General features: G+C 35.9%; 1 protein-coding gene and 1 pseudogene across 38 annotated transcripts in view; one reads left to right on the forward strand and one right to left on the reverse strand.

Moving 5' to 3' along the window:
* PTPRD (protein tyrosine phosphatase receptor type D) overlaps positions 1-22,678 on the reverse strand; it is a 2,298,757-nt gene that overhangs the window by 763,526 nt on the left and 1,512,553 nt on the right. The window lies entirely within an intron of this gene.
* On the forward strand, positions 13,103-13,541 carry RPS26P3 (ribosomal protein S26 pseudogene 3; annotated as a pseudogene).

A 22,678-nucleotide genomic window follows, 5' to 3' on the forward strand; every position in this document is an offset into this window, starting at 1 on the left:
GAAGCACATGGAACATTTCCTTGGAAATGTGAAAGGGAATGACCCCAGCTTAACCTGAGTCAGTTTTGTATTCAAATAGTCCCTCTGTGTACATTTTCTCCTTTCTCTCAAACTTGAATGAGCTCTAAAATAAATATCTATTTACATTGAAGCCATTGAGCATTTATCTACCTGACCATAGCCTAGAAATAAGAGTGAATAAGAAAAAGGAAAAAGTTTACGCTTTGTATTTTGTAAATGTATGCTAGATTTCTATACAGATATTTTCAAGGGCCTTGACATTTTCAATGGCTTATGAGATATTCTAAGACCTTCATATAACATTTGAGTCCTTGAAATCAAATTTATTGGCTTTGGAATACAAAAAAGAACCCATAAAATCAAAATGAATAAATGTTTAATTAAATGTCTGCAAGACATAACATTATGTAAACGTCATTAATTATTAAATTTAGTATTCATAAAAGTTTTATTGAATTTGAAAACAGTTTGCTGGATATATTTTTTCCACTTCGCAAGAATTTCTGAGTTCTGCTGAAAAATCATGGCCCATCCTTAATTATATCATAGTTAAATAATTTCAAAAACAAAATTACAACATTCCTTTCCAGAATTTTGCAGTAAATAATTAATGTTGAATGTGGGTGTGCTTTCATATGTTTGTTATGAGGCATGCTGTGGCTTCGAAAGGGCTGACCAAGTTCTTAAAACAGCTCCACTTTGAATTCTTCCATTGCTTGCTGTGCCATGATAGATAAGAAAGAAATACTTGGCTCATGTTCCACTTTTTTATTATAAAACCTTTCAAACTAGGGGAAGCCTTAGATTGTGTTCTCCAGAAGCAGTCTCTGGGAAAGGAGTTGTGTTTAGAAGGTTTTTTTTACTGGGGAGTGTTCTCAGGAGATACAGCTGCAGGAAAGTATGGATGGCAAAGGCAAAAACTATCAGCAATATGGTTGCAACAGAGGACCCAGTCGATCCTGCAGTGAGCTCTGGAGCTGGGATGGCCCTTCAGAATTGTGCCAAAATATTGGGGCAGTGGGATGGGACTTTATTTATTTGTAATTGAAAAATAATAACTGTACATATTTATAAAGTACAATAGTTTCAATACTCAATATATAGTGATCAGATCAGGGTAATTAGCATATTTCAATACTCATAATGTTGAGTGATCAGATCAGGGTAATTAGCATAGCCATGTTTCAATACTCATGATGTATAGTGATCAGATCAGGGTAATCAGCATATCCATCATCTCAAATATTTATCATTTATTTGTGTTGGTAATGTTCAGTATTCTCCTTCTAGTTATTTGAAACTATATATTACTGTTAACTATGGTCATCCTACAGTGCCACAGAACACTATAACTTATTCTTGCTATCTAGATGTAATTTTGTATCCTTTAACAAATCTCTCCTTATTCCTCCTTTCCCCCACCCTTCCCAGCCTCTAATATCCTCTGTTCTACTGTTTACTTACATTAGATCAAATTTTTTTTAGCTTCCACATATGGGTGAGAGCACACAGCATTTAACTTTTTGTTTCTGGCTTATTTCACTTAATATCCTTCAGTTCCATCTATGTTGCCATACATGACAGGATTTTATTCATTTTTATGGCTGAATAATATTCCATTTTGTATATGTTAATTCCATATCTTGGCTATTGTGAATAGAGCTGCAGTAGATGTGAGATGCAGATGTCTCTTCGATCTTCTTTGCTTTGGATAGATTCTCAGTAGGGGGATTGCTGGACAATATGTAGTTGCATTTGTAGTTGTTTGAGGAACCTTCATACTGTTCTCCATAGTGGTTGCACTAGTTTACAATTGGACTGGGGCCTCTGAGTCCCTGAATTAGTTAGCTGTCGGTCTCATATCTCCTCTGGGAGGTGACATAACCTTTGGCAGGCAGCTCTTGACAGCTGACAGAAACACTTTAGGGAGGGGATCAGGACACAGAGGATCACAATATGTATGCACTTATGTACTTTAAGGAGTATTAGATTTCTCACACCAAAATTCAGCCCATATGCTGTGGTTATGACAAAGGTAGATTAAGGAGAGCTAGGATTTCATCCAGTTCATGAGTTTACCAGATTAATACATTGGTGATGATGTGTTGCTGGAATAAGGGTGCCCTTAGTTTCTACTGATGTTTAATATTTAAGTGTGCACAGTATGCTTGATGAAGCTACCAATACAATATTAAATGTTCAATGACATCCCGAACATTCTAAATTCAGTTATTGGTATTTTATGTGATCATGTAGAATTCTGGGTTTAATCTAATTTAGTCAAATCATAACCCATAGTTATTGTCTATTGAGCATCTATCACTGTACTAGATCCCTGAATGCATTATATTACTCATTTCTCAATTTACATCTCCCATGTTAAAAATAGAAAGCTGATGTCTAGAGAGTTTATACAACTTATCCAAGTTTACACATGGTGTAAGAGATGACCAAATATCTTTGATTCCAAAGACTTTTTCTCTGCCAATTTACCATGTTGCCACTCTAGAATGACATTTTTAAATCCTTCAAAATACATGGAAAAGTAATTTAAAACGGTTGTGCTCAAAAAGGTGACAAAAAGCTGTATGTGAATACTGATTTTATAATAAAAGTCGCTTGCTACTACTATGTGCCACATATTGTTTGAAGCACTTTACTTGAATAGACCCTTTACAACTTTAGAAATGATATCCTATCATCTTATTATCCTCTTTTTTGAGGTTGGTAAAATAATATACAAATAGGGTTAGGTAATTCCCAAGATTACATAGCTACAGGCAGTAGAGATAGCATGTGACTCCTGCAGTCTGACTCCAGAGCTTCCCACTTAATCACAAAGCTCTATCTCTCTTCTGGGTCTATCCCACTTAACCAGAAGTGGGATTCTAAACTGTGTACTACATTGTTTTAAAAAGCAAATGTTCCCTTGGGAGGGTGTATGTGTTCAGGAATTTATCCATTTTTTCTAGAATTTCTAGTTTATTTGCATAGAGGTGTTTACAATATTCTCTGATGGTAGTTTGTATTTCTGTGGGATCAGTGGTGATATCCCCTTTATCATTTTTTATTGCATCTATTTGGTTCTTCTCTCTTTTCTTCTTTACTCATCTGGCTAGCGGTCTATTTTGTTAATCTTTTCAAAAAAACAGCTCCTGGATTCACTGATTTTTTTAAAGGGTTTTTCATGTCTCTATCTCCTTCAGTTCTGCTTTGATCTTAGTTATTTCTTTTCTTCTGCTAGCTTTTGAATTTGTTTGCTCTTGCTTCTCTACTTCTTTTAATTGTGATGTTAGGGTGTTGATTTTAGATCTTTCCTGCTTTCTCCTGTGGGCATTTAGTGCTATAAATTTCCCTCTAAACACTGCTTTAGCTGTGTCCCAGAGATTCTGGTACATTGTATGTTTGTTCTCATTGGTTTTAAATAACTTATTTATTTCTGCCTTAATTTCATTATTTACCCAGTAGTCATTCAGGAACAGGTTGTTCAGTTTCCATGTAGTTGTTCGATTTTGAGTGAATTTCTTAATCTTGAGTTCTAATTTGATTGCACTGTGGTCTGAGAGACTGTTTGTTATGATTTCCATTCTTTTGCATTTGCTGAGGAGTGTTTTACTTCCAATTATGTGGTCAATTTTAGAATAAGTGTGATGCACTCCTGAGAAGAATGTATATTCTGTTGATTTTGGGTGGAGAATTCTGTAGATGTCTACTAGGTCTTCTTCTTCCAGAGCCGAGTACAAGTCCTGAATATCCTTGTTAATTTTCTGTCTCGTTGATCTATCTAATACTGACAGTGGGGTGTTAAAGTCTCCCAGTATTATTGTGTGGGAGTCTAAGTCTCTTTGTAGGTCTCTAAGAACTTGCTTTATGAATCTGGGTGCTCCTGTATTGGGTGCATATATATTTAGGAGAGTTAGCTCTTCTTGTTGCAATGATTCCTTTACCATTATGTAGTGCCCTTCTTTGTCTTTTTTGATCTTTGTTGGTTTAAAGTCCGTTTTATCAGAGACTAGGATTGCAACTCCTGCTTTTTTTTTTTTTTGCTTTCCATTTGCTTGGTAAATATTCCTCCATGCCTTTATTTTGAGCGTATGTGTGTCTTTGCACGTGAGGTGGGTCTTAGTCAAATCCCTGAATAGACCATAACAAGTTCTGCAACTGAGGCAGTAATTAATAGACTACCAACCAAAAAAAGCCCAAGACCAGACAGATTCACAGCCAAATTCTACCAGAGGTACAAAGAGGAGCTGGTACCAATCCTTCTGAAACTATTACAAACAATAGAAAAAGACGGACTCCTCCCTAACTCATTTTATGAGGCCAGCATCATCCTGATACCAAAACCTGGCAGAGACACAACAAAAAAAGAAAATTTCAGGCCACCCCAATGAACATCGATGCAAAAATCCTCAATAAAATACTGGCAAACCGAATCCAGCAGCACATCAAAAAGCTTATCCACCACGACCAAGTTAGCTTCATCCCTGGGACACAAGGGTGGTTCAACATATGCCAATCAATAGACATAATCCATCACAAACAGAACCAATGACAAAAATCACGTTTGTCTCAACAGATACAGAAAAGGCCTTCAATAAAATTCAACACCGCTTCATGCTAAAAACTCTCAATAAACTAGGTATTGATGGAATGTATTTTAAAACAATAAGAGGTATTTATGACAAACCTAAGACACAAGACAAGGGTGCCCTCTCTCACCACTCCTATTCAACCTGGTATTGGAAGTTCCGGCCAGGGAAATCAGGCAAGAGAAAGAAATAAAGGGTATTCAATTAGAAAAGAGGAAGTCAAATTGTCTTTCTTTGCGGATGACATGATTGTATATTTAGAAAACCCCATCGTATCAGCCCCAAATTTCCTTAAGCTGAGAAGCAACTTCAGCAAAGTCTCAGGATACAAAATCAACATGCAAAAATCACAAGCATTCCTACACACCAATAATAGACAAACAGAGAGCCAAATCATGAGTGAACTCCCATTCATAATTGCTACAAAAAGAATAAAATACCTAGGAATATAACTTGCAAAGGATGTGAAGGACCTCTTCAAGGAGAACTACAAACCACTGCTCAAGGAAAACAGAGAGGATACAAACGAATGGAAAAACATTCCATGCTCATGGATAGGAAGAATCAATATCATGAAAATGGCCATACTGCCCAAAGTAATTTATAGATTCAATGCTATTCCCATTAAGCTACCATTGACTTTCTTCACAGAATTAGAAAAAACTACCTTAAATTTCATATGGAACCAGAAAAGAACCTGTATAGTCAAGACAATCCTAAGCAAAAAGAACAAAGCCGGAGGCATCACATTGCCTGACTTCAAACTACACTACAAGGCTACAGTAACCAAAACAGCATGATACTGGTACCAAAACAGATATATAGAACAATGGAACAGAACCCAGGCCGCAGAAATAACACCACACATCTACAACCATCTGAGCTTTGACAAACTTGAGAAAAACAAGAATGGGGAAAGGATTCCCTATTTAATAATCCTGGTGTTGGGAAAACTGTCTAGCTATATGCAGAAAACTGAAACTGGACCTCTTCTTTATACCTAATACAAAAATTAACTAAAGATGGATTAAAGACTTCAATGTAAGACCCCATACTATAAATCTCCTAGAAGAAAACCTAGGCAATACCATTCAGGACATAGGCATGGGCTAAGGCTTCATGACTAAAACATCAAAGCAATAGCAACAAAAGCCAAAATTGACAGATGGGATCTAATTAAGCTAAAGAGCTTTTGCACAGCAAAAGAAACTATCATCAGAGTGAACAGGCAACCTACAGAATGGGAGAAAATCTTTGCAATCTATCCATCTGACAAAGGGCTAATATCCAGAACCTATAAGGAACTTAAACAAATTTACAAGAAAAAAAATAAACAACCTCATTAAAAGTGGGCTAAAGATTTGAATAGACACTTCTCAAAAGAAGACATTTATGCAGCCAAAAAACATATGAAAAAAAGCTCATCATCACTGGTTATTACAGTAATGCAAATCAAAACCACAACAAGACACCATCTCACACCAGTTAGAATGGTGATCATTAAAAAGTCAGGAAACAACAGATGCTAGAGAGGATGTGGAGAAATAGGAACACTTTTACACTGTTGGTGGGAGTGTAAATTAGTTCAACCATTGTGGAAGACAGTGTGGTGATTCCTCGAGGACCTAGAACCAGAAATACCGTTTGACCCAGCAATCCCATTTCTGGGTATATACCCAAAGGATTATAAATCATTCTACTATAAAGACACATGCACATGTATGTTTATTGCAGCACTATCACAATAGCAAAGACTTGGAACCAACCCAAATGCCCATCAATGATAGACTGGATAAAGAAAATGTGGCACATTTACACCATGGAATACTATGCAGCCATGAAAAAGGATGAGTTCATGCCCTTTGCAGGGACATGGATGAAGCTAGAAACCATCATTCTCAGCAAACTAATACAGGAACAGAAAACCAAACACCGCATGTTCTCACTCATAAGTGGGAGTTGAACAATGAGAACATATGGACACAGGGAGGGGAACATCACACACACCAGGGCCTGTCAGGGGTTGGGGGTCTAGGGAGGGATAGTATTAGCGGAAATAACTATTGCAGATGACAGGTTGATGGGTTCAGCAAACCACCAGGGCATGTGTATACCTATGTAACAAACCTGCATGTTTTGCACATGTATCCCAGAATTAAAGTATAATAATAGTAAAAAAGTTCCCACTGACACACATTTCTGGGAGCCAAAGTCAATGTATTTAAAGGACTGTAAATGAATGGGATCTGAGAGTGTTATTTTTAAGCAGAGGTAATGTACTGGCCTCTGTCCCTAACAATGGTAGTAAAAATATACTCCAAATGACACACACTATAGCAAAATGTGGGCAAGGTGCTTAGAGAAGGACACTTGAAAGAGGAAGAGTAGATTGCTTCATAGTTCACGGACTGTTGTTTTGATCTCTCATCAAAAGAGCCATCCAAACAGATCTCTACATTTATCAAAATATCAACATTTTATTTTCTCTAATGTTTAAATATTTCTTAGCCACTTTCTCATATGTATTTTTAAGACTATAAAATGAAGAAAACTTTTCATCAACCATTTTTAGCACAGACAGGGAAAGATTATTTTTCCCTGAAAATATTCCTTTAAAACTTCTATCTTTGCTACTGTATAGTTAAGCACAAAAGGAGATATTGATTATAATGTATGATTCTGTAATTTTATCATTATTTCATTACAAAACAATTTTTGTGGCTGCTCACAAGCCTGATAAATATATATTTAGTGATTTTTTTGGTCAACACTTAAAGTGACTTTCTCTTTCTGTCATTTTAATGGCATTGTGATAAAAAGATCAAGACTGAAAAGAAAGATAGACACAAGAACATATCACCTTTTAATTATTTTATAACTACCTATTTAGGATTCCTAGAATAAATATTCTACTTTTACCATTAAGTGTGAACATTTTATAATAATTACTTCCTTCTCTCTCAGAGAAAATGTTGGTTTTTGCCAAGGAAAATCTACAGCATGCAAATTCTTCTTTCAAGATGCGAATAGTGCATATGTAAGCTTTGACGGGTACTAATGGACATTTCTTCCTATTTTTGACCCTTAGGGTGAAAATAACAGCGCCTTATTATTTTTCAGGAAGAATAAGATCCATTTCCAAACAGTTTAGAAACTCAGGGCTTTTTTTCCCTCTTATAAATAGACAAATAAATGGTCACATTAGCACTTATACTTCATTGTGAGCCAAGGACATTTTTAAAATGTCACTACTCAGGGTTAATGCTCTTTTTTTTTTTGACATTTGGCCTTCAGATTTTTCTGCTTAATTGTCGGTTTGCCACCTCATTGCCATATACAGGGTCAAATGCATCTCTTTCCTTTCACATTGCCATAAGATATAAAGTCCAAATGTTTTAAATGTTTTATATATTGTGTACTACCAGACCTTTCCAAGCTCTATATTAATTTAAGCCTCTCGAATCTAGAGAAGTCTTCCGCTCAGGCTGAAATTGTCCCCAGGAAGGATTATCAGTTACTTGTGTCCAACCCTAAGCTGCTCACTTTTTAGCAGATGCTTGTGGTTTTGCTTTCTCCACCAGTGAAAACATTTTGGGCTAGCCTTACAAAAGTGAATACATATGCAACTTACACATATAATTTACTGATATATAGGAAAGTAAATAAATTTTCAAGGTGATTCTGTTAATGATTAACTAACTCACATAACTTGGACTTCAATTTTCTTTTTAAGTAAGGATCACTTCCAGAACGGCACCAAATCGAATTGAAGTGTGACCTCTATACATTTTTCACTAAAGATGACTTTTGAAAATATTCTAAATCTATGGGTATAGAATACTGAACCTCCTTCTGACTGGTACTATTCATTGAGACTAATTCACTGAGAGTGAGAAGCATAGTAGTTTTAGTTTTGATATGGAGATGTTTGGTTTAATCTAGAACGCATGCTGTTCATTATGGGCAGCCTATTGTGTCATGCCACACTTTGGGACAGTTACTGGGGGAAATGAAGAGAAAAGCTGTCCCTCTTAAGAAGGCTAGGAGCCTAAAGACTGATTTCTGTCTCACATCACCCTTTATATACTGATTTGCTTGTTTCCCACATTGGATTATTATCACCTTTATAAACCATTATAAGCCCTAGATTGGATTCTCAATTCTTGGCTGCCTTTTCAATCATTTAGCCACAACCATCTTGTCCTCACCCCTCCCTGCAGCTGTGGAAAGTGGGCTTAAATTGTTCCTAGGAAATATAGGTGGCTGAATTCTGTACATCAGGATGCCATTCCCTTGGTCCCAGCTGAAGTGACTAACAATGGACATCTATTTTAAGAGGATAATATTTGGGCTGGATAAAAGCATCTGGTGTGGCTTGGGCAAATGCTTTTTTAAAATGTGAACAAAGATGACTGGTTAGGTGAGTCACAGACTTCTGGGGAATTGGGCCAGTGAAACAAAAAAGTTGACCATAGCAAGCTGAAACTAAGAGATACAAAGGAATGATAGTGTGTAGGTACCATACAATAGCAAAAGCCAAAGAAACAGATGCCATGGGGAAGAGAAGAAAAGAGAAATAATGAAAAACAGTCATCATGGCTGAAGTGATATACAGAGTGACACACACAAGCTGAATTTTCCTAATTATGTCAGAGCTCTAATTCTTGCTCCTAGAAAAGCAAATACACACACAGAAAACACTGATTTCCATTGTCTCTGAGTTGGCTTTTTTTTCTCTCTTGGATTTTTCTCTCTGTTGTTTTTCCAACATTACTTAAGGTAAACTTAGTGAGTCCTCTAAAATATTTTATTACTATAAACGTGTGAAACATCTACAGATTTCCCCAGTTACCAAAGCAGAGATTTGGTCCTTGGCCCTGAAGAGTTGGTGTTTTCATAGTCAGAAATAGAATGTGCATAGATGAATGTAATAGAGAAGATAAATCACAAATAATAAAATTATAATTATACCTATTACCCATGTGTGACCATTTTTCAGTGGTTTACCGATAAGTTCAAGAATGAGAAAAACTGTGAGAAGGTCCGGAAGGCAGCCACTGTACTCCTGCATACTGAAGAGGCATTGTCCTTCCATAAAGAAATGTAGGTGGCATTTCAAGGAGGAAAAAGAACTAAGAACCAGGATTGAAATATGAGAAACATACAGAGAAGTGATTTCAAGGAAAATACAGAGAATTCTGAGTGCCAGATAAGTTACTTACATTGTGCTAGAGTTCATCACATACATAATCTCACTTAACCTTATGGAAAACATGGGGAAGTGAATATCCCAAACTACCAAAATAAGAAAGTCAAGGCTCAGGGAGCTTGTAGTAATTTTTCCAAAGTTAAATTTTAAATTCAAAGTCATTATTTTCTGGCTTTAAAATCCACATTCCTTTCATTTTCACAATATGCCTGCTCTTCACTCAACACAATCGCTTGATGTCAAATAGAACATAATAATCTTATTTTCCACCAGAGCCCTAAACTCTTTTTTTTTTTTTTTTTTTTTTTTTTGAGACAGAGTCTCACTCTGTTGCCTAGGCTAGAGTGCAGTGGCATTAGCTCACTGAAACCTCCACCTTCCAGGTTCAAGAGATTCTCTTGCCCCAGCCTCCTGAGTAGCTGGAATTACAAGCGTGCACCACCATGCCTGGCTGATTTTTGTATTTTTAGTAGACACGGGGTTTCACCAAGTTGTCCAGGCTGGTCTTGAACTCCTGACCTGAAGTGATCTGCTCGCCTCAGCCTTCCAAAGTGCTAGGATTACAGGCGTGAGCCACTGCACCCGGCCAGAGCCCTAAACTTTTGATTCTTGTGTCCTCATTCTTCCCTTGAACCTGCCAGAAAAGAAAGTTCTTCTAAATTTTAAAAGCTGTTAAGGAAGGGACAATCTTGAACTAATAAAATGAAATCTGGGCCGGGTGCGGTGGCTCACGCCTGTGGTCCCAGCACTTTGGGAGGCCGAGGCAGCTGGATCACCTGAGGTTGAGACTAGCCTGACCAACATGGTGAAACCCTGTCTCTACAAAAAATATAAAAATTAGCTGGGCATGGTGGCAGGCACCTATAATCCCAGCTACTCGGGAGGATGAGGCATGAGATTTGTTTGAACCCAGGAGGTCGGGGTTGCAGTGAGCTGAGATTGTGCCACTGCACTCCAGCCTGGGCGACAGAGTGAGACTTAGTCTCAGAAAAAAAAAAAAAAAAAAAAAAAAAAAAGAAGTCTGGCTTGCAGTAGATGGTCTCAAAGGACCTTCATACTTTACAAATATTAACACAGAGTACTCCATATTAGCCCTGGATATTCAAATAGAGCCTTGCCTAGCTTGCTGAGATTGCAGAAGACAAAGGTTTTCTTAGTATTTGTGGAGGCTCTGAAAGAACTTATGCCTGTGAGCTCTGGAGTCAGTGTCTGGATTTGAAACTTGACCCTGTCACTTCATAGCTATAGTTTAGCAAGTTACTTAATGTCTGTAGTCTCTGTTTCCTCAATGTGTTATAATAGGTAATTATAGATTTTCTGTATTAAATGAGTAAATATTGTAAAACACCTAGGACTGTGCCAGAACAATGATAAGCACTCAATAAATATGAGCTATTTTGAAGGGAACACAAGGGTTTTTCACTCAACATTACTCCTATTTTTACCCCCTAGTAAAAAGAAGGTCTTTCTCAAATAATTTGTGACTTGCTAAAAAAGTCAACAAAACCCTTTAATGTGGCTGTGTTTAAGTGTGTGTGTGTGTTGAGTGGGGTGGCATATGTAAGATATTCTTGTGTTGAAGGACTTGACACAGTTGACAGCTATCTTACTTTTAAAAGGGCTTTCTGTAAATGTTTAGAGAATAAATATTTTAGGCCTTATGAGCCATAGTCACAAATAATAGGTAAAGAAATAAGTGTGTCCTAATAATACTTTATTGGCAAAAACAGGCAGTGGGCCAGATTTGATCCAAGGTCTACAGTTTGCTGACTGCTACTATGGGCACAGTGCTCAAATAATGAGTATGTAGCTGGGACAATTGCTCCCCAGATTCAGTACGAATATTAATATTTGATCTGCGGCAGGCCATTTAACCTTTCTGACCAAAGTTTTTCATTCATGAGTTAGAATAAATGCTCCATGAAGCTTCTTTATGACTCTACTAACTCATAGTATGCAAGGGCCTACAAATTGATTCCATGTAGCAAAACTATCACTATTCTATTAAGGTTCCTAAACTTTCCTCTATTTCTTCTAAATAAAATCCTGCTTGCCTATTTAGGTTCTCCTCTCCAATTTTTCCTGACTGTTGATTTTGAGATTTTATAATGCAGAGTAAGAACGAAGGGTTGGTGTAGAAGGGTAATGTCAACATACTTGTCAGGGCTGGGGAAAATAGTTTTGTGAAGGTTTCCAAAGTAAGAAATAAGGAAACACCTATAATATGTGGGGAAAGCAGAAGGTAAAAAAAGTAGTAATGCTCTGCCATATTTACTCCTTTCACTGTGTTTGAAAAATGAAAAGAGACAAGTTTATTTTGAAATCTTTTCCAGTTTTTATTTTTTATTGATACATAATGTTTGTCCATATTTATGGGGTATATGTGATATTTTGATACATGCATACATGTGTAATGATCAAATTCAGGTATTTATGATATTCATCACATTGAACATTTATTCCTTTGCATTGGGAACATTTTAAATATTCCCTTCTAGCTATTTTGAAATATACAATATATTGTTGTTAACTACAGTCACCTTACTGTGCTATTGAACACTGGAATTCCTATGTTGTATGTTTGTACCCATTAACCTACCTCTCTTCATCTCCCTGGCCCTCCATACCCTTCTCAGCCTCTGGTAGCAATCATTCTATTCTCTACCTCTATAAGGTACACTTTTTTAGCCCCCACATATAAGTGAGAACACGCAATATTTGTCTGTCTATGCCTGGCTTATTTCAATTAACATAATGACCTCCAGTTCCATCTATATTGGTGCAAATGACAGGATTTATTATTTTTTGATGGTTGAAGATTATTGAATTGCTTTTTATTGTGAGCTGTGTGTCTTTAATCAGAACATCATTCTGAGATTGTACCACATGGGTAATGGCTTGTTAGATATTATATATTTATAATCATTCTAGTATTTCCACAGATTGAGTAGTGAATATGTCAGCGTTATTAGGTCTTCAGTGGCCATTATTGCAATTTTTATAAGCCTATTTTTGGATGAAGGGCAGAAGCTTCAGATAACAATAATAGTTGGCAGCCTGGCACTTTCATACAAACTTAAAAAACATTTTCATCTTCCTAAGTGAGGTAAAACTAATGATGACTCTTGAACAAAGACAATGTCCTTACTCAAAACATCAGTGATTTCAAGTTGCATCCTCTTTAGCTGAGTTGCTGCATTCTTCAAATAACTCTTAATGACATCTCAATGATATCTTATTCCATTGACAATGATGACAGGTTAAAAATTTCTTTAAATAGCTGTCTCCGGTCCGTGCCTCCAAGATGACAAAGAAAAGAAGGAACAATGGTCGTGCCAAAAAGGGCTGCGGCCACGTGCAGCCTATTCGCTGCACTAACTGTGCCCGATGCATGCCCAAGGACAAGGCCATTAAGAAATTCGTCATTCGAAACATAGTGGAGGCCGCAGCAGTCAGGGACATTTCTGAAGCGAGCGTCTTCGATGCCTATGTGCTTCCCAAGCTGTATGTGAAGCTACATTACTGTGTGAGTTGTGCAATTCACAGCAAAGTAGTCAGGAATCGATCTCGTGAAGTCCGCAAGGACCGAACACCCCCACCCCGATTTAGACCTGCGGGTGCTGCCCCACGTCCCCCACCAAAGCCCATGTAAGGAGCTGAGTTCTTAAAGACTGAAGACAGGCTATTCTCTGGAGAAAAATAAAATGGAAATTGTACTTTAAAAAAAAAATTTCTTTAAATAGCTGCGTATTTTTCTGGAACTGTACATTTCTGTAAATCTCCAATCACCTTATGACTCTGGTTCTTACTAAAGTTTTATTCCTTTAAAAAATACCTTGTTAGTCTTGCAGATTGTTTCCCAAGACTTCAGTAGGCTTATAGGAATTCTAGGTAGCTTCAATATGGACATTTGTCCTACAGCAATTAGTAATAGTCCCCATTTCCAGTATCAACTCTTAAAACTCCTTTTCATAGTAATAAGCCTATTCAGCACTTTGGACAGTGCCTAACACACTCAGTAAGTATTTGTGGAATGAGAAGTAAGTGAACAGTCACAGAGAATGACTTGGACATATATCTGCCTGTAACAAGTACTATATTTGCTAAAATTCCCAATCACAAGGAAACTAAACAAAACCTAACAGAACCAGCCAATATAGTAAAGTCTGTACTCCATTGAAGAATTGAACTTTCAGGTTGGGGCAAATGGGATACTGTTTACTCTCAGGTTTCATCTAGGTACTATTACCATCATGCTTAAAACTCAATTGGGTTTTGTGTTGAGTGTGGGAATAAGACCTTTGAAAACCTAATTAACAAAAAATTCTTATCTCACTAATGTCACCTTCTATCTGCCAGGATTAGACAATGGTTTTTAAGTGTCTCTGCCATTTTCTTTTCTCTCAGTTTATCTTTGGGGTTCTTCTCCAGAGAGAAAGTCATGCCACTTTAGAAGATTCACTCTTAAACTTTCATTTGACATGGTGAAGGTTTATAATGTACTGGATGGTAATAAAACACTAGGCTCACTATTGTTACCAACATGCTACTGTTAACTCATTTTCATGTTCTCTTCTTAGAAATAATGCACCATTTTCAAATGTTAAACATATTGTCTATTATAGGGCAAAGTTCTCTACAGATAATACTACTGGAAACTAAAGTAGACACAGATATTGAATAGGTGATTCTTCATTCATGACTGTATCCTGGTACTGATTTCTATACCAAGGTATTTATAAAGGTATGCTGTTTTCATTTCTTCTTCAACTGATTCATATTATTATTGTTATAAATATCACATGCAGTAAACATATTAATGGTAAATAATTGAATATTCACAGATTGAGGAACAGCTACTATATTACTCTTATGCTTCATGGACAAGGGAAGTGTATTCATAAAGTGAATAAATAAGATGTGATTTACAAATTAAGTGTAATAGTTATTCTATTCACTTATAACATATGAAAAAGTTATGACTTGAAAAGTTATTCTATTCACTTATAACACATGAAAAAGTTATGACTTGAAAATATGACTTGAAAATTTGTCTATTTAGGACAAATCCACAGTTGACTGAAATAGACAATGGATCTGAAACCACTATCATTTAAGATATACAAACTTAATAAACATCTATTGTGTTCATGTTATGTGCAATGTGCTTTAAATATAAAGATGATTAATAGTGTAGAAATTTAGAAAGACAAATAAAAAATTATGATCATCAACCATACCAATAATTTCATCATGTGTAAATGTTCTAAACACACAAATTAAAATACAGAAATTTTCAGATTTTACTTAAAAAAACCCAATACTCTATTATATGCTATTGACAAGAAACCTGCTGTAAATACATGGACATAGCTAGGTTCAAATGAAAAGTACAAAAGAAACTAATGCAGTACGAAAGAAAATGCAAACACCAATCAAAAAAAGCAGAAACGGCTATACTAAAATAAAGTAGGCTTCAGAACAGGGATATGGAGGGACATTGCATAGTGATAAATGGGCTAATCAACCTAGAACACATAACAATCTTAAATATATATACATCTAACAACGGAACTTCCAAATACTAGAAACACAAACTAATAGAACTAAAAGGAGAATTAAGCAAATCCATAATTATAGTTAGAGGCTTCAAAATTCTTTGCTCAGCAATTGATAAAACAATTAAACTGAAAATCAGTAATGACACAGGAAATACGAATAACACTAGTAGTCAACTTGATGTAATTAGTATTGATAGAACCCTCTATCCAATAACGGCAGACTACATAGTTTATTCAAATGCCCAAGAAATATTCACCATGATAAACCATATTCCAGGCCATAAAACAAGTCTTACAAAATTTAAGAGAATTAAAATTATGTAAATAATGTTTTCTGGTTATAACATATTCAAGCAGAAATTAGTAATAAACAATCTAGAAAATTCCCCAATATCTGGAAATTAAATAACACAGAACTTTCTAAGTAATTCATGGGTAAAAAGGCAAGTCACATGGGAAATTATAAGCATTTTTAATTTTATAAAATTAAAAACACAACCTGTTAAAATTTGGGCGGGGGGGCGGATGTAGCTAAACAGGCATATAGAGGAAAATTTATAGCATTAACTGCTTCTATTAGAAAAGGAAAAAGTTCTCAAGTTAATGATCTAGCCTTCTATTTAAGAAACTAGAAAGGGAAGAGCAAGCAGAAGGAAGAAAATAAAGAGCGGACATAAATAATATGAAAAACAGAAATACAATACAGAAGGCAATGAAACAAAAAACAGTTCTATAAAAAGATCAGTAAAATTGATAAACTTCTAGCCAGAGTGACCAAGTAGAAAGAAAAAAAAAGGCACAACATCAAGAATGAAAAGGGATATAGGACCTCAATACAGATATTAAAAATGTAATAAGAGAATATTAAGCTCAACTTTATTAACATACATAAGTTCAACAACTTAAATGAAATGGAATAATTCTTTTTAAGAAACAAAGTACCAATGCTCACTCAAGTGGAAATGGTCACCTGAATAGTCCTACATTAATTAAATGAATTGAATTTGAAGTTGAAGTCTTCAAGCAAAGAAAACGTTAGAAAGTCATTACGTGAGAAAGACACATGCACACGCATATTTATAGCAGCCACAACTCTCAATTGCAAAGGTTTGGAACCAACCTAAGTGTCCATCAACCAATGAGTGGATAAATAATATATATAAGACATCGATTGCCACTCAGCCATAAAAAGGAACCAAATAGTGTATTTTGCAGCAGCTTGGATGGAGCTGGAGATGATTATTCTAAGTGAAATAATTCAGGAAAGGAAAACCAAAAATCGTATGTTCCCACTTATAAGTGGGAGCTAAGCTAGGAGGACACAAAGGCATAAGAATGATATAACAGACTTTGGGGACTTACGGTTGGGGGAAAGTTGGGAGGGACTGAAGGATCAAACACTACATAGTGGGTACAGTGTACACTGCTCAGGTGACAAGTGCACCAAAATCTCAGAAATCACAATGGAAGAACTTATCCATGTAACAAAAAACCACCTGTACACCAAAAACTATTGGAATAAAAAACTAAAATAAAGAAAGAAAACTTTAGGCCCAGATGGCTTCCCTAATAAATTTCATAAAATATTTAACAACAACAAACAACGACAACAACAACATACAATTTCCATACAAACTATTACAAAAAGCAGAAGAGGAGGGAAAACTTTACGAGGCTAGCATTATCCCGACACCCAAATCAGGCAAAGACATCACAGGAAAATAAATCTTTAAACCAGTGTCCTTCATGATCATAGATGCACAAATTCTCAAAAACCTAATAGCAAATCAAATCTAGCAAATAGACAAAAGTGATAATACTTCATGACCAAATGGAGATTATCTCAAGAATGTCTAGCCCAACATTTGAAAAATCAACCAACAACTGATATCAACATCCATTCATGGTAAAAACTTGCAGCAAGATAGGCATTAAAAAACATGCTTGCTAATAGGTGGTAATTATATATATTAAAAAAACCCTATAGCTAATTTCACACTTAATGTTTAAAAACGGAAGATTTTCTTCCTAAAATCAGGAACAAGGCAAGAGGTCTATTTTCACCACTCCCACCCAACATACTGCAAGTCTTAGCTTGTATAACAACAGCACAACAACTATAATAAAAGGCATATAAATAGAAAGAAAAAAATAAAATGACCTTTATTCACAGCCAATATGACTGTCTACATAGAAAATCTGAAGAAATCTATAAAAAGGCTATTTGAACTAGGGTTGCAGAATACAAAGTCAACATACAAAAATCAAATGTATTTCAGTTGTTTCAATGTCAATTTTCTCCAGATTGAGCTGTGGAATCAACACATTTGTAGTATATTAAAAATATATATCTGTTGACAGGCAGGGCCTTAGGAAGTCTCCTGGGACTTGTCTCCAACTCTTGGCCTCAAGTAATCCTCCTGCCTCAGTCACCCAAAGTGTTGGAATTATAGACGAGCCACCACACCTGGTTTGGACAGTCTTTAATACACTCATGTAGGAATGTAGATTGGGAGAACCATTATGGAAAACAGTATGGAGGTTTCAAAATAAATTAAAAATAGAACTACCATATGACTCAGTAATCCCTCTTCTGAGCATATACCCAAAGGAAATAAATCATCACTTTGTTAAGATATTTTCATTCCCATGTTCCTTGCAGTATTGTTCTCAATAGCCAAGATATGGAAACAACCTGTCCATTGATGAACAAATGGATTAAAAACCCCTGTGGTACATATATACAATGGAATATTATTCAGTCCCACAAAAGAACGAGATCTTGCCATTTGCCATAACAAAGATAACCTTGGAGGATATTAGGCTAAGTGAAATAAGCCAGACTCAGAAAGAAAATATTGCGTTATTCTACCTATACATGGAACAAAAATAATGCATTTCAAATACACAGAGCTAGAGAACAACAGGAAATGGGGAGATGTAGGTCAAAGGATACAAAGTAGCAGATATGTAGGATGACCAAGTCTAGAGATTTCATGTGCAACATGAGGACTATAGGTAATAAAATTGTATTTGACATGAGATTCATGCCAAATGAGTAGATTTTAGCCACCGTTGCCACAAAATGGATAACTGTGAGTTGCTGGATATGTTAATTTGCTTCAATATAGTAATCTTTTTACTATCTATAAGTATCCCATAACATCATGTTGTAGACCTTAAATATACGCAATACAATTTATCAAAGCAAACAAACAAAAGTCCCCAAGAAACAATTGTCAATCTCACGAATGGAATGCGACATTTTGGTTAAACTCCAGCACTGAAAATTATTTCCAAGCATTAATTTGTATACTGATTAGACATTTTTGTGTTCCATGACTCTTTTTACAATTAGATGTTAACCTGTAGAAAACTATATAAGATATAGATTATATTTTCCAGGTGAAGATATAGATGATTTCTTTTTTTTAAAAATATTTTGTCATAATTTCAAGGTTACATAGAGATTATCAGAATAGAACAAATAATACTCATATATCCTTTACCCAGATGATATAGATACAGATTAATCACAATAGTTTCAGTCTAATTGCCTTTAGAACAGTAAACACATTTCAATTAAATTAGCAAAAAAGTATTATGATTATGTGTTGTGCTAAAGTAAATGAGGTTTATATAATGCTATGGAGGCTTCATGAATGAGGCCATAATTGGCATGTAGGACTGCATGTCAGGGATGCCTTCACTGTAAGATGATATCTGAGGTACACTTTGATGAGTGAGGTCACCAAGGACCTCCCAAATGCTGAAGTCACTGCTTTTATCTCCCCTACCCCCTAAGTTTTGTGTTGCATTTCATATTTCTGAAAATATTATTAATCAGCTTGAACTAAACAGCAACACTTGAAATTCAGGTGTTTTATCATCAAAATACACATTTCACTCTTCTCTTGAAACATCAGAATATAAGGCAACATTTGGTTTGCATACAAGCAGGGCAACAGTTAGCTGGATCTCAGCAGGGGCTGATTCCTAGGCATAAGAGGCATACTCTTCTGATTTGCAAGCATAGCAGGCATTATGTTTTCTTGATCCCTGCATGTGGGCGAAGGACTTGAGAAAATCTGTCCTGAAAACAAATGCAGTATCAGCACTATAATGAGGAGATTCTGGTTGGGGCCTAAAGCAAAGGTTTTTGGGGTACTAAACCTCATACTCATGAATTAAGCTAAGGACTGGAGGAAGGGTTTAAAGAGGCCACAGGTTAGTAGCACACCATGGCTCTTTTTTTTTTTTTCTTTTTCTTTTGAGATGGAGTCTCGCTCTGTCACCCAGGCTGGAATGCAGTGGCGCAATCTCAGCTCACTGCAAGCTCTGCCGCCCGGATTCAAGCCATTCTCCTTCCTCAGCCTCCCAAGCAGCTGGGACTACAGGCACCTGCCACCATGCCAGGCTAATTTTTTTTGTATTTTTAGTAGAGACAGGGTTTCACCGTGTCAGCCAGGATGGTCTCAATCTCTTGACCTCGTGATCTGCCCGCCTCGGCCTCCCAAAGTGCTAGGATACCATGGCTCTTGATGCAATCAAGTGCAAATCCTCTCTGAAGGAAATTGTTGGGAGACAATTCTCTATGGGTCTCATGTTTCTACAGATCTTGTGAGCAGAAGACCTGTCTTTGTTACGAACTATTTTTCACGGATGCTTGTATAGTGAAGAGCCTTGAAAGATAGAGATGGTGTTTTCCTAAGGAGTAAACATTGGGTTTGTGTACTATCCAATACAATAAAGATGTTTCCCTTTGGCTCGTCTGGCAGGCATGCTTGCTGACCATCATAAAAGATCCAGAGAGGGACCTGGAATTGGGATGTGATAACTCAGTGGTCAAGGGATTTTGTTTATTAGAAGTGTTTTAATTTTTTAACAATATTAATATATTTATATATAATCAAAGTAAATATATTTATATGGATTTTGTGTAATTATAAAAAATTAGCAAATGTTCATTAACCATGTATCACCTCAAATCACACACATTAATGATGATTCTTGCTCCAAAAATTGCCTTTCTTTCTTTTTCCCCAAATTCCAGTGTGCTCTCTTGCCTCCTATTTTTGACTCCTATTCTTTTGTCCATAAATAGATTTATTATTTTCAGTATCATTTTTGTTGTTGTTGTTTCCCGGGCTGAAGTGCAGTGGTGTGCTGTTGGCTCACTGCAGCCTCCGTCTACTGGGTTCAAGTGATTCTCCTGCCTCAGCCTTCCAAGTAGCTGGGACTACAGGCATGCACCACCACACCTGGCTAATTTTTAGTAGAGACAGGGTTTCACCATGTTGGCCAGTCTGGTGTCGAACTCCTGACCTCAAATGATCCACCAGCCTCAGCCTCCCAAAGTGCTGGGATTATAGGCATGAGCCACCATGCCTGGCCTGTTATTTCTTTTTAGTTATTATTTACATTTATTATTATTACAATTTGAGTGTCTGTAATATAATCTGCAAAGTTACTAACGATGAAAAGAATAATCATTACAAGTATGTTTATCATGTACCCATCGACTTACATAAACTCTTGGCAACTATGTGGATCTTACACGCTATTGGAGAAAATACAAATGGATACAACATTTTGGGGAAAAATTAGGTATATTTTGTAAAATTCATCATTTGTATGTAATACAAGGCAGAAATTCTATTCCTAGAGAGACTCTTACACATGTTCACCAGGAGAATTACATGAACATATTCACAGTGGTATTGTCTATATTTGTAAAATTCTGAAAACAACTGTGATATCTCTAGATAAAGAAATGAATACAGACATTGTGGTATAGTCACATTACTGAGTATTTAGGTGACAGTGAAAAAGAAAAAATGTGGTCTGATAAAATTGAATGGGTAATTCTTGGAAACACAATATTGATTGGAAAAAGCAAGTGAGTACAATGACATTTTGATAAGAATTTTATAAAAATGAAAATAAAATTGTGCATATGTTTACAAATGTGATAAAACCTTTAAAAAGACAATACAGTGGTAAACACAGAGCAGGCCATGTACACATTTATTAGCAACAGGTGATGGGAGAGGTAAAAAGCAATCCACGTAGATTAAAACTATGTTGGTGATATTCTAGTTCTTCAGTTGGGTGCTGGTTCATAATTATTCATTTTCTTATTTGTCTCATTATCTATAAATATATACAGAGAGAATGTGTCTCTCACATGTGTCAAAATATTACACACTAAAAATGGAATATACGAAACTGCCTTGTGTATTGCTAATCATGTTTGTCTTGAATAAGTGTCTGTGGACTGTATCAGTCTTAGGATTTAGAGATTATTTTACAAGGCGATACTTTTTATGCCTGCCTGGGTGTGTTGCAGGTTTTGGAGGTAAGTAACATCATCTTCTTCAGTGTCAAAGCCCATATAACTATGTGCAAAGTAGGAGAACAATATCTACTTGAGTTACTACCGGGCAGGTAGCAGATATTTGCTTATAGGATGCATTTCTACAATTGTAATTATGTTTTTAAGAATAAAAATATTCCATACTAGGAAACTACATAGGTGTTACTGAAAGCGTCACGCTGTGTAATGGAAGTGAGGATTACTTTTTTATGGCCCATGGTTTCTATGAATAGAATTAACCAGACACCAATTATCACCTCATTGAAAGGATAAGTCACTGTGACATCTACAGCTGAGATCAAACTCATTGCTTTTGCAATGTGAATTAATTAGAGTTGGAGAGAGCTACACTGAAGGGTGAGGAAGCACTGCAGATTTGAAAAGTCTATATTTTAAGCAACTCAGGGGAAAATCTGTTCCAATTAGTGTGTGACGTTAATATGCAATGGTCTTATTTATATAAAAGTGCTTTAAAGAAATACTTCTAAAAGAAAACATTAAAAGAGTCATACAAAATATCCTCTTTTTGTGATGATTATAATTAAAAGAATATAAAAATTCAGAAAGTAGATTATTTATTTATTTTTAACTGGCAAGCAGGCTCTACAGAATGGGGTATCTTTACTTGAAAGCATGTGTTCCTGGGTAGTGAATAAAGAGAGATAGTTGGCTTCTTACCATAATTCAAAAACATATCAGATAAATATGCCTACCAGCCTATTTGGACACAGCAGTAGGTATTACCATCTGCTCCCAAATATGCCTGCAACCCTGTAGCTCTTCCATTTTGGCATCAGAATTTATAGAAAAGAGCATGATGTCCTAAGATATACTGATTTCTGAGAAGTGCTTTGAAAATGTATCTGTAGTGACACAGAGTAGGGTAAATAGCTGGGTTTGATTCAAATGCTACTGTTTA

The sequence above is a fragment of the Homo sapiens genome, chromosome 9 (genome assembly GCF_000001405.40).
Source record: "Homo sapiens chromosome 9, GRCh38.p14 Primary Assembly".
NCBI classification, from domain to species: domain Eukaryota; kingdom Metazoa; phylum Chordata; class Mammalia; order Primates; family Hominidae; genus Homo; species Homo sapiens.